Source organism: Homo sapiens, chromosome 19, assembly GCF_000001405.40.
Source record: "Homo sapiens chromosome 19, GRCh38.p14 Primary Assembly".
In the NCBI taxonomy this organism is placed as follows: domain Eukaryota; kingdom Metazoa; phylum Chordata; class Mammalia; order Primates; family Hominidae; genus Homo; species Homo sapiens.
In genome coordinates, this window is record NC_000019.10 from 14,848,923 (window position 1) to 14,866,786 (window position 17,864).

Genomic DNA, 17,864 nt, shown 5'->3' on the forward strand with positions numbered 1-17,864 from the left:
CTCCCATCACTTCCCTCCAACCCTGAGGGAAAGTTTCCTCCGAAGTTTAAACTGAGGAATCTTTCTTGACTAAGCCCCTTGAGTCTCCAAAGCATTGACTTGTGGTAAGAACACAGGTTAAGAGCCGTCATTTAATCCTTCATTTATAAAACATTTGATAATTGTAAGAGATACATTTACATCTTTTCATGCAAGTTACCCTTAGATTAGCACCTTATAAGAGTGATCTCATTAATTTTTTAAAAAAAGTATTTATTTATTTAAATGGACAGATATAATTGTATATATTTATGGTGTCCAACATGATGCTTTGAAGTATATATACATTGTGGAATGGTTAAATCTAGCTAATTAATATATGCATTATCTCATGTAGCTATCATATTCGTAGTGAGATTCCTTTAAATCCACCTTTGGCATTTTTCTTTTCTTCCTCTTCTTTTCTTCTTCTTCTTCTTCTTCTTCTTCTTCTTCTTCTTCTTCTTCTTCTTCTTCTTCTTCTTCTTCTTCTTCTTCTTCTTCTTCTTCTTTCTTCTTCTCTTTTTTTTTTTTTGAGACAGAGTCTTGCTCTGTTGCCAGGCTGGGGTACAGTGGCACGATCTTGGCTCACTGCAACCTCCACCTCCAGGGTTCAAGCGATTCTCCTTGCTTCAGTCTCCCGAGTAGCTGGGATTACAGGCACCCACCACCACACCCGGCTAATTTTTGTATTTTTAGTGAAGATGGGGTTTCACCATGTTGGCCAGGATGGTCTCGATCTCTTGACCTCGTGATCCGGCTGGCATTTTTCAAGAATACAATATGTCATCATTAAATATAGTCACCTTGCTGTACAATAGATCTCTTGAATGTATTCCTCCTAACTACAATTGTGTATCCTTGGACAAACATCTCCCCACTCCTCACGCTGCAACTGCCCCAGCCTCTGGTAACCACCATTCTACTCAATAATTCTGTGAGATCGACTTGTTTCAATTTCATATGAGTGAGATCAGATGGTATTTGTCTTTCTGTGACTGTCTTATTTCACTTAACATAATGTTCTCCAGACTCAACCATGTTGTCTCAAATGACAGAATTTCCTTCTTGTTTATGGCTGAATAGTATTCTATTGTGTGTGTGTGTATAATACATAACGAAATTATATAATATTTTAAAATCCATTCATTCATTGATGGACACGTTGATTGATTTCACATCTTGGATTCAGGATATTCTGGACATAATTCTGCATATGAACACTTTGTTGGATCTGTAGTTTGCTGATAACATTGACCACATATCTAAACTCAACATTTTTATTCCACCCCTCACTCCTGACCCATTTTATGGTTTGGAGGTCACAATTTACAGCTTTTTATATTGTGTATCACTTAGCAAATTAAGAGTTACAATTTTCATTTGATGTTCTGTTAATTGCAATTGATTGCAATCCATAACTTGCTATACTATTCCGATAAATTTTATAATATTAGTAACCTGTCATATGTATACAAGATCTACATGGGGATCAAAATCAGTTATATTACATGTGTACTTTCTAATAAGCAGTTATTGTACATTCTTACTTTTTTGATGGGGCTACACACACACAGACACAGAAACATACAAACATACACAGACACACACACACACACAGACACATAAAGTCTTGACAAATTGGAAGACCTCCATAGGAGAATGGCTCACATACAGAAAAATCTAAAAAGTATCATAGGGTGACTGGAAGAAGAAAAGTTGGTTGTTTTTTCTGTACATATGAAGAAGTTGGTTGTTTTTCCTGCACATGTGGAGACAGTCCTGTCTGCCACTGAAAAGAATGCTGGCGTTTCTTCTTGTACATCATTTCATGCGGCCCCTACTGGGTACCCTGGATTCTCTCCTGACTCCAATCTCTTCTCAATCATACACTCAGGGTATCTGCAACAAAACTTCCACCTCAATTTCCCCCTCTTTTTTCAAATTTCTATATCTCTTGTATCTACAATTCTATTCTCTGTCTCCATGAGGTCAACTTCTTTAGCTCCTTCATATGAATAAGAACAAGCATTATTTTCTTTCTGTGCCTGGCTTATTTCACTTAACATAGCAGCTTCCAGTCCCATCCATGTTGCTGCAAATGTCATAATTTTATTCTTTTTTATGGCTGAATAGTATTCAATTGTGTATATGTACTGCATTTTCTTTATCTATTTGTGCACTGATGGACACTTTGGTTGATTCCATATCTGAACTATTGTGAATAGTGTTGCAATAAACATGCAAATGCACGTATCTTTTTGATACACTGATTTCTTTTCCTATGGTTATAGATCCAGTAGTGGGATTGCTGCATCAGATGGTAGTTCTATTTTAGTTTTTTGAGAAATCTCCATATTATTTTCCATAAAGGATCTACTAATTTACATTCTAACCAACTGTGTATAAGAGTTCCCTTTTCTCCTTATCCTTCCCAGCAACTGTTTTTTTTTCTTTTTAATAATATCCATTCTAATTTGGGTAAGACGAAATCTCACTGTACTTTTTTTTTTTTATCGTTGTTGTTGTTGGTTTTTTTCTTGAGATGGAGTCTTGCTCTGTCTCCCAAGCTGGAGTGCCGTGATGTGATCTCAGCTCACTGCAACTCCGCCTCCTGGATTCAAGCGATTCTCCTGTCTCAGCCTCCTGAGTAGCTGGGATTACAGGTACCCACCACCATGTCCGGCTAATTTTTGTATTTTAATAGAGACGGGGTTTTGCAATGTTGGTCAGGCTGGTCTCGAACTCCTGACCTGAAGTGATCCACCTGCCTCAGCCTCCCAGTGTGCTGGGATTACAGGGGTGAACCCCTGTGCCTGGCCTCCACCTTATTTCCAACCCTACTTTGGGGATAACTTTGGGAAAGTGGGAAAATGACAAAGGAAAGAAAACTGTTGGATACTTGAGAGCAGAAAACTTTTTAAAGGAAAATCATAAACTTTATAAAGCAGTTGGAATCAAAGAAATGGAAACTCCAGGTAGATAACAGAAGGAGTAACTTCTACTTCCACAATCTCATTAATGAATCATGATTTCTATCTCTGGGAATTAGAGCTCTGAAATCACAGGCATTAATTGAAGAAGAGTCCTTTTATTGCTTCCTTCTGAAGAAGCGTTTCAGAGCATCCTTTAGGTCTTTATTCCTCAGACTGTAGATAAAGGGGTTCAGCATGGGGGTGACCACAGTGTACATCACTGAGGCTGTTGCACTTGAGGGTGAGTTGTGGGTTGCAGCAGAACTAAGGTACATTCCTAGGCTTGTACCATAAAACAAGGAGACAACTGAGAGGTGAGATGCACAGGTGGAAAATGCCTTGTACTTCCCCTGAGCTGATGAGATTGCACGTATGGAGGAAACTATCTTAGAGTAAGAGTAAAGGATTCCAGTGAGGGGACCACCGCCCAGCAGCACAGTTGCACAATATATCATGATGTCATTAAGAAAGGTGTCAGAACAGGCAATGCAGATTATCTGATTAAGTTCACAGAAAAAGTGGGGGATTGCTATGTCTGTATAGAAGGGCAGTGGCAACACCATTAAGCTTTGTAACAGAGAATTCAGGACACTAAGAATCCAGTCTATAGAACTGAGGGTTCATGATGATTGTGTAGTACAGAGGATGACAGATGGCCACAAACCGATCATAGGCCATCACAGCTAGGAGAAGGCTGTCCAACACTGCAAATAGTAGGAAAAAGCACATCTGGGTGATGCAGCCTGCATAGGTGATGACTCTGCTCTGCGTCTGGATATTCACCAGCATCTTCGGGACAGTGGTAGACACAAAACTGATATCTGCAAAGGACAGGTTGGAGAGGAAGAAGTACATGGGGGTGTGGAGGTGGGAGTCTGAGATTGTGGCCAGGATGATGAGCAGGTTCCCGAGCACGGTGACCAGGTACATGGACAGGAACAGCCCAAAGAAGAAGGGCTGCAATTCTGGTTCTGCTGAAAGTCCTAGAAGAAGAAATTCTGAAATTCGTGTATCATTCCCTGGTTTCATCTTGTTGATGTGACTACCAAAAAAAGAGAAGGAGAATATGACACAAGCATGCCTTACAATCCTAACAATATAAATGTTGTCATTTATATTCTTCAGACAAGAAGTTAATTTCTTTTTCTAAAATATGTATTTATAAAATTACAGATAAAGTTGCATCTATTTATCATGTACAACATAATATGTTTAAGTATAAGTACAAAGTGAATGGCCATTTGTAGCTAATTAAAATCTGCGTTATCTCACAAAATTATCATTTTCGTGGAGAGAACACTTAACATCCACTTTTGCCATTTTTGAAATTACAAAATATCTTCATGAACTATAGTTACCATGATGTACAATAGACCTCTCGAATGAATTCCTTCTCATTAACTCTCATTTTCTATTCTTTGACCAACATCTTCCCAACTTTCTTTGTCCCCAACCTCCTCAGCTTCTCATAACCTTCATTTTACAAGAAGTTAATTTCTATATTTTGTGTGTGAATCTGATTCCTGTTGGGGATCCCCTTGCATCTCTAATTTGGAGTTCCTTCTTACTCTCAGCCTTTCCCTGAGGGCATGTATTCTATAGTTTTAAGAAGAAAATTTTTCATGCACTTTAATAAAGTAAATTGAATTTTGACATATTCCAGGAATTTAGACGATGAGTGAATGGTGCCATAAAACCAAGGCCTCAACAATCTAATGATGGAGAAATAATATAAGTAAACTTTTAAAATACCATATACTATGTCAGATGGTAACAAATCTTATGAAGAAAAAGAAAGAAGATAAGAAGAAAAGCATGGATGAGGCATCATTTTTACTGGGTGTTCAGGCTAGACCAGCAGACAAGGTGGCAACTGAGCAGAGACCATAATGAAGACCCGGTATGAATGTGCAGAAGTGTGTGCAAGGTGGAAGGAAGGATCAATAAAGCATACTGAGAAATGTGCTTCTTTCAGATATTCAAGGCCAACAAGGAAGCCAATGTGGCAGGAGAATGAGCAAGATGAGAGGGATGAGAGATGGTGTCAGAGGATGCTGAGGGAGGAGATGGCCTGACAGCTGCTGAAACTGGAAGGCACAAGGAGGCCCTCTGTCCAGATGTCGATGCATTTGCCCTGTATGAATTTGGTTGCAAAGGTATCCCATGAAGTGAAATGCATCCCCTCTTCATTTTCTTCATTTGCCTTGAGTTCTGGAGTTCTGGTATCTGTCTTTTTTTGTTGTTGTTGTTGGAGTCTTACTCTGTCGCCCAGGCTGGAGTGCAGTGGCGTGATCTCGGCTCACTGCACCCTCTGCCTCCTGGGTTCAAGAGATTCTCCTGCCTCAGCCTCCTGAGTAGCTGGGATTACAGGCATGTGCCACCATGCGGGGCTTTTTTTTTTTTTTTTTTTTTTTAGTGGAAACAGGGTTTCACCATATTGGCCAGGCTGGTCTTGAACTCCTGACCTTGTGATTCCTTCGCGTCAGCCTCCCAAAGTGCTGTGATTACAGGCATAAGCCACTGTGCCTGGCCCGCTCCTTCTTAAAATAAAAAAGAAATGCCCTCACTTCAGTGTATATACCTCCACAACTAATGTCCTATTTCTCTTCTCGACTTAATTGCAAAGATCCCTGGGCAAATGTTCTACTTTTACTCTTTTAATTAGGCTTCCCCCATTTCCTCTTCTAATGGGACTTCCATTTCCGTTACTACTAATTGTCAACTATTATCCTCCATTGCTGAGTTCAACATCCATTTCTTTTTAGCATCACAAATAAATACATCAATCAATTAATGACTCAAGCAAGCAAACAACCAAAGCAATCTCTCTGCTCTGGGCTTGGCTGTATTGGCTCTCAGGGGACTTCAGGTCTATATTCATGGCTCTCATTTTCCCGGAGCCTTTCCTGTAGTACCTACTGCGCACTTGGACTCACCCTGATGGATTTTCTGGAAGGAAGGTGTCGTCCATGTGGATGTATGAATTCCTCCCTGGATGGTTGATGATGGAAACTGAAGCTCTGTCTTGAGACAAGACAGCAGGAGAAGGTCAGGCATCAGTACTCGAGCCAGATTGAGGACTCCAAAAGAAACAAGCATGTCCCATCCAGTCCAAGGTAGCATATGCTGAGGGACAGTGACAGCGGAGATATTTACGGATTTGTGTATCTGCTCATTAGGCACATTTCCCTCTTGTTATTCCCACCCTCAGCACACGATGTCCCTGTGGGACATTGCTCTGCACTGAAAGAATTTTTTTTTTTCTTGCATACTCTGTTCCCAAGACATTAGGGTAAACATCAGGTCAATCCAGTCTTTTTTTTTTTTGAGACAGAGTTTTGCTCTGTCACCCAGGCTGCAGTGCAGTGGCACGATCTTGGCTCACTGTAACCTCCACCTCCCGGGTTCAAGCAATTCTCCTGCCTCAGCCTCCCAAGTAGCTGGGACTACAGGTGTGCGCCACCATGCCTGGCTAATTTTTATATTTTTAGTAGAGATGGGGTTTCACCATGTTGGCCAGGCTGGTCTCGAACTCCTGACCTCATGTGATCCACCCGCCTCGGCCTCCCAAAGTGCTGGGATTACAGGTGTGAGCCACCATACCCAGCCCACTCCAGCCTTTGTTACTTTTTCTATATGGACTTGCTTATCTTCCAGAGACCTGTCTGAAACCTGAACCCAACCTGGAGTGAAAGTTTTCTCCAAAGTCTAAACTGAGGCACTTGTGAAGAGGTCCTTTGGATCTCTAAAGTTTAGTTTTCTGCTTCAATGATCTGTCTAATGCTGGCATGGGGTGTCGCTTTATGAACATACTTGCATGTTGCCCTTTTTGCTTTATAAATGTAGATGTTTGGCTAAGTTAATCTCATGTTATACACACATTTCCAACCTGATTTTATCAGTTCATTCTTCTTTATTGTGACTTTTGGCTTTTTGTATTAGATCTCTTTCTGGAAGTTGCATCACATCACCTTTGGCTATCATTTAAAAATCATTCTTAGGCCGGGTGTGGTGGCTCATGCCTGTAATCCCAACACTTTGGGAGATGGGTGGATCACCTGAGGTCAGGAGTTTGGGACCAGCCTGGCCAACATGGTGAAACTCTGTCTTTACTAAAAATACAATAATTAGCTGGGCATGGTGGCAGGTGCCTGTAATCCCAGGTGCCTGTAATCCTACTCGGGAGGCTGAGGCAGGGGAATCGCTTGAACCCAGGAGACAGAGGTTGCAGTGAGCCAAGATCACGCCAATGCATTCCAGCCTGGGCAGCAAGAGTGAAACTTCATCTCGGAAAAAAAAAAAAAAAAAAAGGAAAAGAAAAAAATCATTCTTCTTTATCATCTGACTACAGCTCATCTTGATCTCTCATATAGCAGTATTTGCAACACTATTATCGTGTTGCCGTTTATGTCTCTTCCTCGGTCTAGAAGCAGTGGCTTTGTGAAGAATCTGGGGCTTCGATGTTGGGTAGGTATATATTTGGATAGTTAAATCTTTTTATGAATTGAACATTGAACGTTTTATCATCATGTAATGCCTTTCCTCATCCTCCTTTTTTTTTTTTTTTTTTTTTGAGACAGAGTCTCGCTCTATCGCCCAGGCTGGAGTGCAGTGGTGCCATCTCGGCTCCCTGCAAGCTCCGCCTCCCGGGTTCACACCATTCTCCTGCTTCAGCCTGCCTAGTAGCTGGGACTACAGGTGCCCACCACCACGTCCGGCTAATTTTTTGTATTTTTGGTAGAGACGGGGTTTCACCATGTTAGCCAAGATGGTCTCTATCTCCTGACCTCGTGATCCGCCCGCCTTGGCCTGCCAAAGTGCTGGGATTACAGGCGTGAGCCACCGCGCCTGGCCCTTCGTCCTCCTTTTTGACTATTGTTGGTTTAAATTCTTTTTTATCTGATACAAGAATAATGACCCCTGCTCTCTTTTGTTTTCCATTTGTGTGATAGGTCTTTTCCCATCATTGATTTTGAGCCTATGGGTGTTATTACATGGATCTCTTGAAGAAGGTGGGAAGAGGGGCCTTGTTTTTATTTTTCAATTTTTAATTTTTTTTTGGGTACGTAGTAAGTGTGTATATTACTACAGGGTACATGAAATATTTTGAAACTGCCATGCAATGCACAATTATCACATCATGGAGAAGGGGGTACCCATTCCTTCAAGCATTCATTCTTTGTGTTACAAACAATCCAATTATAGCCTTTAAAGTATTTAAAAATGTACAACTAAATTACTACTGACCATAGGTCATCACCCTGTTGTGCTATCAAATAGTCTTATTCATTTTTTTCTATTTTTTTTGACCCATTAACCATCTCCACCTTTCCCATATCACTCACTTACCTTCCCAGCCTCTGGTAACCATCCCTTTTTGTGTGTGTGTGTGTGTTTTGTTTGTTTTTTGTTTTTGTTTTTTTGAGATGTAATCTCACTCTGTTGCCCAGGCTGGAATGCAGTGGTGCAATCTTGGGTCACTGCAATCTCTGCCTCCTGGGTTCAAGCGATTCTCGTGCCTCAGCCTCCCTAGTAGCTGGTATTACAGGTGCGCATCATCATGCCTGGGTAATTTTTGTATTTTTAGTGGAGACAGCATTTCACCATGTTGGTCAGGCTGGTCTCCTGACCTCAAGTGATCCGCCCGCCTCAGTCTCCCAAAGTGCTGGGATTACAGGTGTGAGCTGCTGTGCCTGGCCAGTAACCATCCTTCTACTCTCTATGACCATGAGTTCAATTGTTTTGATTTTTAGATGCCACAAAAAGTGAAAACTTGTGATGTTTATCTTTCTGTGCCTGGATTATTTTACTTAACACAATGACCTCCAGTTTCATCTGTGCTGTTGCAAATGACAGGATCTCTTTATTTTTTATGGCTGGATGGTACTCCATTGTTTGTAAGTACCACATTTTCTTTATTCATTCATTTGTTGATGGACACTGAGGTTGCTTCCAAATCTTGGCTATTGTGAATGTTGCTGCAACAAACATGAGGATGCAGATGTCTCTTTGATATTATGATTTCCTTTCTTTTGGGTATACACCCAGCAGTGGGATTACTGGATCATATGGTAGCTCTTTTTTTTAGTATTTTGAGGAGCCTCCAAACTGTCCTCCATAGTAGTTGTACTAATTTACATTCCCACAAACAATGTACGAGGGTTCTCTTTTCTCCACATCCTCACCAGCATTTGCTTACCTATCCGGCCAGGCATGGTGGCTCCCACCTGTAATTCCAACACTTTGGGAGGCTGAGATGGGCAGATCACCCAAGGTCAGGAGTTCGAGACCAGCCTGGCTGACATGGCGAAACCCTGTCTCTACTAAAAATACAAAAAGTAGCTGGGCATGGTGGCACACACCTGTAGTCCCAGCTACTCGGGAGGCTGAGGCAGGAGAATCTCTTGAACATGGCAGTGGAGGTTGCAACCATTTTGTGCTCTGTATTTAACAAAACAAAAACATCTGTTGAATAAACAGAGAGAGATGAATGAAATAGGCATGAGAGGGTAAAAGATCTGATAGGTACAAGTGGTCAATGAGAGATCGTGATGCAGAAAGCTTCCTCATTTCTAGCAGCACCCCAAGCCTGGTTAAATACCTGTGAAGCCAAGAAAAATTAATAATGAACAAAACATGGTCTATTTAGAGTGTCAAGACACCTTACAGATTGAATACCCCATGAGAAAAATGAGTGAAGGGAATAAGCCCAGAATTCACCAAAGAAAACATAAAAAATGCAACAATAGTGAGTTGTTTTTTTTAACCAGATGCAATGGTAACATAGTTTTGTAAAAAATAATAAATGCAAAACTTCTGAAATCAGAAGAAAACAGGTTTGGAATGTCAGAGCTACCTTGAATCAGCTGTCTGAACTTGGAGAATCAACAAGACCATTCAAAATGTTAATATGTTTTTCTAAATAGTGAGATAGCAGCATCTATCCTCCTGAGATGGGAGATGTAATCAATCTGTGTAAGGTGCTTTACATTGTTCCTTCCTGTTAGTGAATGAATAGTTATCACCAGTGATGAAGTGAGGCTGATATTTTTCCTTCTGGCTCTCAAAAGTCTCCCTTTTTTCTCTATCACCCGGTTACCCAATTCAATGGTCCTGTTTTAGTTCCTCATGATTTCTTCCAGGCTTCTGAGGCTGGCATCTCTATATACCCATATTCTCATTGATCCAGAAAAATCTATATTTCACAGCTGATCACCTAACACTCTGGCTTAAATGCCCACCCTGTGATTCCCCATGGGAGAAAGAAGCTGAAATTCTACAGCTTCAAACACAAGGCTTGACTCTGATACCTTCACACTGCCCTACCCCAACCCACATCAATCTTCCATAAGTTGACCAAGTTGACCTTGACTTTCAGCTTCACCAGAAGCCAGAGCTTCAATGCTCAATGTCTTCATACATTTATCTCCTTCTGCTTGAACTTGTTCCATAAAATAGCAGAAGAAGACTAATATTAAAAAAATAAGTCTTTGTGTTCTCACATATACCTGGGATATAAAAAATTAAAACTCATAGAAGTATAGAGTAGAATGGACATTACCAGAGGATAGGGGTGAGGACAGGGTCGATACAAAAAGGAAAATGTTAGTCAAAGGCTATAAAGTTTCAGCTGGACAGGAGGAATAATTTCTAGTGCTCCATTGCACAACATGGTGACTATTGTTGAGAATAATGTACTATATATTTCAAAATTGCTAAAATATTAAATTTTAAATGTTCTTTCCACAAACAAATGATAGATATGTGAGGTGATGGATAGGTTAATTAGCTCCACTTAATCATTCAACAGTGTATACATATATCATAACATCACGTTGTACCTCATAAATATATACAGTTACTATTGGTCCATCAAAAATTAAATTTAAAACTAAATTTTAAAAGATCTCATCAAAAAAGACAAAAAGGTAGCTATAAGGAAAAAGGGTTATAAAATAAGGTGGAAATACATATGATTTACTTCTACTAAAGATGCAGAAGAATTTTCTAAGTTAAGAAAAATTGGAGAGTGTGGGTTCATGATAGGACCAACTGAGAGATTTGACAAAGTTTATAAAACAAAGTTTATAAACTTTCTTTTCTTCATCCTGTATATATATATATATATATATATTTTTTTTTTTTTTTACACAATCCCTTGATGTACATCTATACATACATAAAAAATTAACTATTATTCAGCAAACTTGGTGAAAAATCTCTAATTCTTCATTTGAATGAATGCAATCAAAAGAATAAAAACACTCACACTCTAGAACATAAAAGCAAAGAACCTGCAAAATCTGCAATAGAGAAAGTAAATGGCTAACAAACCAACAAATGCTGTATACTCAGCCTCAGCAGAAAGGAAATAATTGCAATTAAAAACTCTTGAGTAATCCTAATTTGACCTATGAAATAATATTTTTTCAAGTGATTATGAAAAATAATCCAGAGATGTTTCTCAACATCCTACAACTAACGGGACAGCCCACACTACAGAAAGTTAAGCAGTAAAAATGTTAACACTAGAGAGGTTGAAAGGCTATTCTGTCCAGAATATGTCCAACTTCAATGTGTGTATGATTCAATTAGGGATCTTGTTCAAATGTAGATTCTCATATGGGGCCTCTAGGATAGGTCCAGACATTCTACATGTGTAATGGTTTCCCCGTTGATGTTGATGCTCCCTGACCTGTTGGGTGGTTCACTCTTTGAGGATCAAGGCTATGGTCCAGTGTTAGAGTCAATTAGTACTTCGAGATCTTCTCCAGCAAGAATCCTACCACACACCTCATATTTGACTTCAGGTGGTCAGTGTTGGACTGGGCAGGTCAGCTTTTGCATAAATAAAGATTGCATGTGCCTCTTGTGTGCTTCTCTCATGAAAGAAAATGAAACCTTTAGAAATTCCATCTACTGGCTGGGCGCTGTGGCTCACGTCTGTAATCTCAGCACTTTGGAAGGCTGAGGTGGGTGGATCACAAGGTCAGGAGTTTAAGACCAGCCTGGCCAATATGGTGAAACCCAGTCTCTATTAAAAATACAAAAATTAGCTGGGCGTGGTGGCACGTGCCTGTAGTCCCAGCTACCTGGGAGGCTGAGGCAGGAGAATCACTTGAGCTCAGGAGGCAGAGGTTGCAGTGAGCCAAGATCGTGCCACTGCACTCCAGCCTGGGTGACACAGTGAGACTCTGTCTCAAAAAAAAATTCCATCTACTTATGGAGTTTATGTGAGAAGTAAGCAATATTTTGAAGCTCATTGGAGATTACCTTGCACAGAGCAGATGCTCAATGGATATGTCAGCTCTTCTTGACTATGTCTTTAGTTCATCAAATTACTCCTTCAATTCTTGTAGGAAGTCTTATAAGAACTCCTTTAATTCTTCATAGAACACTTACTTTATTGCAAGTTTATAGCACATCATTCATTAACATTTAATGTGGACATAAGTATGAAATTCTTGCAAGTCTGTTTCTCATGCCAGTAAATTTAATTTTTACTTATTTATTAACTCCCCTATTGTCTTTGGGAATATTGTGTTTCTCCACCTTTGGCTCGGGGCTTTGCTAATACCTCAATTGGGAGGCATGTATATCCCTACAGTGGTTGATGTGGAGCATAGATATGTGATGTGCTTTGTCTGAAAGAATGTGCGCATTCATGAGAAGTCCAATGTCTATGAAGAAGTTGTAAGAGGCCTTGTGAGTTTCCACCACTTCTCTTGATCTTCCTCTGTCAAACTGTCCTTCCTATTCAAAATTCAAAAACTAACTAGATTTGGATAGTCGCATGGATGGAATATTTTGTCCTCTTCAAAATCCCTATGTCCTAATCCCAATGAAAAACTTTCCCAACATAAACTCCTATGTGATAAAAAAGCAGGACATTAAACCGTTGACTAATGGGATGGCTTATTATGCAGCAGTAGCTTACTGATACAATAAACAGTGCAAACAGATCTAAAGACATTCAAAATATTCTAATGCTTCTTAGTTTTTAACATTGGTTCTTATATTTGAGGCAGCATTAATGATTACCTGGATATTGATGCTTATGTCAGATAATTGTATTAAAACGAGAGTATTGTTTCCTTTTTTTCTAGGCAGCCAGGAAAGCTTGCAAGGACATATATGTTTTTGAAGGAATGAATTGTGACCTTGGTTCACACAAGTTTCTATTCCCAGAGGCAATAATAGGCAGAAATCCAAGTTCATGTGTGTGTATTCCTTTGATCGTGAGAGTTGAAGAGAGTTCAGAGTATAAAATATATAAAGCAACTGCTGATAAATGAAGCACACATATTGTTCACTTATCTGCACTTTAATGTTTATGACACAATTTTTAAAGGGGAAGATATTTGTTAGTACAATGGAAGGAGTCGTATTTATAGGTAGCACTGGAAAATTTTAAGTAAAATGAGGAAGCTAATACAATAAAATTATATGGACTATGACACCAAATCTCTCAGATGCACAAACTTCATTACACATGGACACTAAGCTTGTATGCTTCAAATGTTCCACAGTAATTCCATATGTGACTGAAAGTTTTATTCTGTCATATTGAAGGTAATTGCTGAGTCTTAAGGCCAGATGAAGTCAATTTATGTATGCTCACTTGTCTTTCTGTTTAGTTTACACTTGGAACATGTATTTTATAAGCAATTTTTAATCCCAGCACTTTGGGAGGCCGAGGTGGGTGGGTCACGAGGTCAGGAGATCGAGACCATCCTGGCTAACACAGTGAAACCTCGTCTGTACTAAAAATACAAAAAATTAGCCGGGCGTAGTGGCGGGCGCCTGTAGTCCCAGCTACTCGGGAGGCTGAGGCAGGAGAATGACGTGAACCCGGGAGGTGGAGCTTGCAGTGAGCCAAGATCACGCCACTGCACTCCAGCCTGGGAGACAGAGCGAGACTCTGTCTCAAAAATCAATCAACCAATCAATAAAATAAAAAAATAAAAAATAAGCAATTTTTGTCCTCCTTCTTTTTACCAGGGAATATAGAGGGCACTGTAGACACCAAGCAGAATAGAAGACAGGATCCTAAGGAAGAGAATAAAATTCCAGGAGTAGCTATAAAACACACTAGTATATTAAAATTTACATTGTGAGGAGGACCAGTTAAGGCAGTGACAGAGAAAGAAATAACAAATGGAAAAATGAAAACCTGTGGTCTCAGCTAGGCATCCACAGTAAAATTATATTAATGACCTTAGAGTGGCCATTCTTAATTATTTGGGCTAACACAACTCATTACTGCATGAGACGGATAGGAATCTCCACCTTGTTTCTGACCCTAGTCTGGGAATAACTTTGCAAAAGTTGGAAAATGACAAAGGACAAAAAAACTGTTGGCTGTTTGAGAGCTGAAAGCTTTTAAAGAAAAGGCATACATTTTACAAAGCAGTTAAGATCATACAAATCCCAAAAAATTAACAGAAGGAACCACTTCTGTTTTCACAATCTGACTAATAAATCACAATGTTTGGGTCTGGGGCTTACAGCTCTGGAATCACAGACCCTTCTTGAAAAATGGCTCTTTTAAAAAAATTTTTTTTTTTTTAAATTTTGAGACAGAGTCTCACTCTGTCTCCCAGGCTGGAGTGCAGTGGCATGATCTCAGCTCACTGCAACCTTGCCTCATGGGTTCAAGCGATTCTCCTGCCTCAACCTCCTGAGTGGCTGGGACTACAGGCGCATGCCACTACGCCCAGCTAATTTTTGTATTTTTAGTAGAGATGGGGGTTTCACCATGTTGGCCAGGCTGGTCTTGAACTCCTGACCTCATGATCTGCCCACCTCTGCCTCCCAAAGTGCTGGGATTACAGGCTTGAGCCACTGTGCCCAGCCGAAAAATGGCTCTTTTATTGTTTCCCTCTGAAGAATTGTGTCAGAGCCCCCTTTATGTCTTTATTCCTCAGACTGTAAATGAAGGGGTTGAGCATGGGGGTGACCACAGTGTACATCACCGAGGCGACAGCAGTTGAGTGTAAGTTTTGGGTCATAGTAGAGCTAAGGTACACCCCTAGCCCCGTACCATAAAATATGGAGACAACTGAGAGGTGAGATGCACAGGTGGAAAGTGCCTTGTACTTCCCCTGAGTTGACGAGATTGCACGTATGGAGGAAACTATCCTACAGTAAGAATAAAGGATCCCAACGAGAGGACCACCGTCCAGCAGCACAGCTGCAAAATGCATCACCATGTTGTTCACAAAGGTGTCAGAACAGGCAAGGTGGATCATCTCATTAAGTTCACAGAAAAAGTGAGGGATTTCCAAGTCTGTGCAGAAGGACAACTGCAATGTCACTAAGCTTTGTAACATGGAGTTTAGGACACTCATGATCCAGGACACCAGAACCAGCAGTCCACAGAGCTGAGGGCTCATGATGACCGTGTAGTGCAGGGGGTGACAGATGGCCACAAACTGGTCATAGGCCATCACGGTCAGGAGTAAGCTGTCCAACACTATAAAGAGTACAAAAAAGCACATCTGGGTGATGCAACCTGCATAGGTAATGACTTTGCTCTGTGTCTGGATGTTCACCAACATCTTTGGGACCATGGTGGAGGCAAAACAGATATCTACGAAGGACAGGTTGGAGAGAAAGAAGTACATGGGGGTGTGGAGGCAGGAGTCTGAGATTGCGGCCAGGATGATGAGCAGGTTCCCGAGCACAGTGACCAGGTACATGGACAGGAACAGCCCAAAGAGGAAGGGCTGCAATTCTTGTTTCTCTGAAAATCCTAGAAGAAGAAATTCTGAAATTTGTGTCTCATTCCCTGCTTTCACCTGGTTGATGTTTCTACCAAAAACAAACAAACAAACAAAAAAACACACAAGAAAGAACAGAACATGAGAAAAACATGCATTACAAACTTACCAGAAATGCTGTCATACATATTCTACAGTGAAGAAGCTACGTTTTATTTTATTTTTTATTTTTATTTTTTTGAGTTAGAGTTTTAATCTTTATGCCCAGGCTGGGGTGCAATGGCGTGATGCTGGCTCACTGCAACCTCCGCCTCCCAGGTTCAAGCGATTCTCCTATCTCAGCCTCCCAAGTAGCTAGGATTACAGGCGCACGCCACCATGCCTGGCTAATTTTTGTATTTTTAGTCAAGACTGGGTTTCACCATGTTGGCCAGGAAGGTCTCAAACTCCTGACCTTAGGTGATTCACCCGCCTCGGCATCCCAAACTGCTGGGATTACAAGCATGGGAAGAAGTAGTATCTAAGGTTATGGTTTCATATTATATAATGATATAAGGATTCCAATATTTATGAGAAAGGTGGTCTTTAGTCAGATGATAAATAATGATCACCAAATGATGGTCAAAGGTAATGCAACTTCTAAGAAGAGATCTAATACAAAAAGCCAAAAAGCACAATAAAAAATAAGAGAGAAAACAAGTTGGAAATGCATGCATAAAAGGCAATTTATTTGTCCAAATGTTGCAGAAGAACTTTCTACATTTATGTAGCAAGGAGGGGAGCACACTATGATCAATGGATTTGGCTACACAATACTTCTAAGCTTTCACACATTTCCCTCAAATACATTGAAAGTTACATAACAGTAATAAAAGACATATGCCAAAATTGATGAAGAACTCCAAGTCTTATATTTTGATAAATGAAATAAAACAGGATTAAAAATATTACAAACCCATTTTACAAAAGGAAAGTTCATGTACAGTTTGCAATAGCTGTAAATGTCTAACAAATACACAGATATATTTAGCTTCACTAGTAAAAAAAAGTGGCAAAGTTTGTTAGTATTTCACTTTTTCACCCATTAAATAAGTTTTTGATTTCATTTGAATACTTAGCATGAGAGAAGATACTACAAAATGTATACCTCATGACTGCTGTTGTCAGGTAGTTTTTGAAAGGAATTCATTGGTCTGGATCTTTCTCACCAATATGGAAAGACAGTCAAATATGCCCCTTCTTAAAAACAAACAAACGAACAGACAAACAAATCCCTCTCTTCAGTGTATATCTCTCCACAGGTAATTGACAGAGCAGGAGCACCATCATCTTGGACAACCGCCACTTTAAGTTCCAGCTCCTTTTCTAACCTCATGCATCTTAAGAAAATCACTTCTCTTCTAACAACAAGCAGCCAGAAAGAGCAGACAGTAAAACACAGATAAGACAGCTCGGGCATAGAGGGAGGGGGAAAGTCTCTTGGGTAACCACCAAACCTGGCACTCACACAGTGGGCCCCAGAAAAACAGTGGGCTCTAATAAGCACATTCCTTTCCCTTTAGGTGCACTAAGATAGGGAAGCTAAAAGCAGACTTGGGGGGTATGCCTGCAGCTGCAAGAAGATGTACGGGAACAGACACAAAAACTCTCTCTCCAGGTAAGCAAGACAAAGAGGCACAGAAACATTCCAAGCCGGTGATAAGCTCTCCCGCCTTGAACCCTTAAAAACTCTTAGTCTGTAAGAGAGTGCCTTGGCTGGCACAGTGGCTTACATCTGTAATCCCAGCACTTTGGGAGGCTGAGGCAAGCAGATCATGAGGTCAGGAGTTTGAGACCAGCCTGGTCAACATAGTGAAACCCTGTCTCTACTAAAAATACAAAAAATTAGCTGGGCGTGGTGGCAGGCACCTGTAGTCCCAGCTACTTGGGAGGTGGAGGCAGGAGAATCACTTGAACTTGGGAGGCAGAGGTTGCAGTGAGCTGAGATTGCACCACTGCACTTCAGCCCGGGCAACAGTGTGAGACTCCGTCTCAAAAAAAAAAAAAAAAAAAAAGAAAGAGAGTACCTCTGACCTAACTCAGCCAGAAGCCCCTCTCAGGTTTGTTCTCCAAAATAAACCTGTCTTCAACCGTTGAGCTGCTTTTCATG

At 40.4% G+C, this 17,864-nt stretch overlaps 2 pseudogenes; both read right to left on the reverse strand.

Moving 5' to 3' along the window:
- OR7A8P (olfactory receptor family 7 subfamily A member 8 pseudogene) lies at positions 3,189–3,821 on the reverse strand (annotated as a pseudogene).
- Positions 14,664–16,340, reverse strand: OR7A2P (olfactory receptor family 7 subfamily A member 2 pseudogene; annotated as a pseudogene).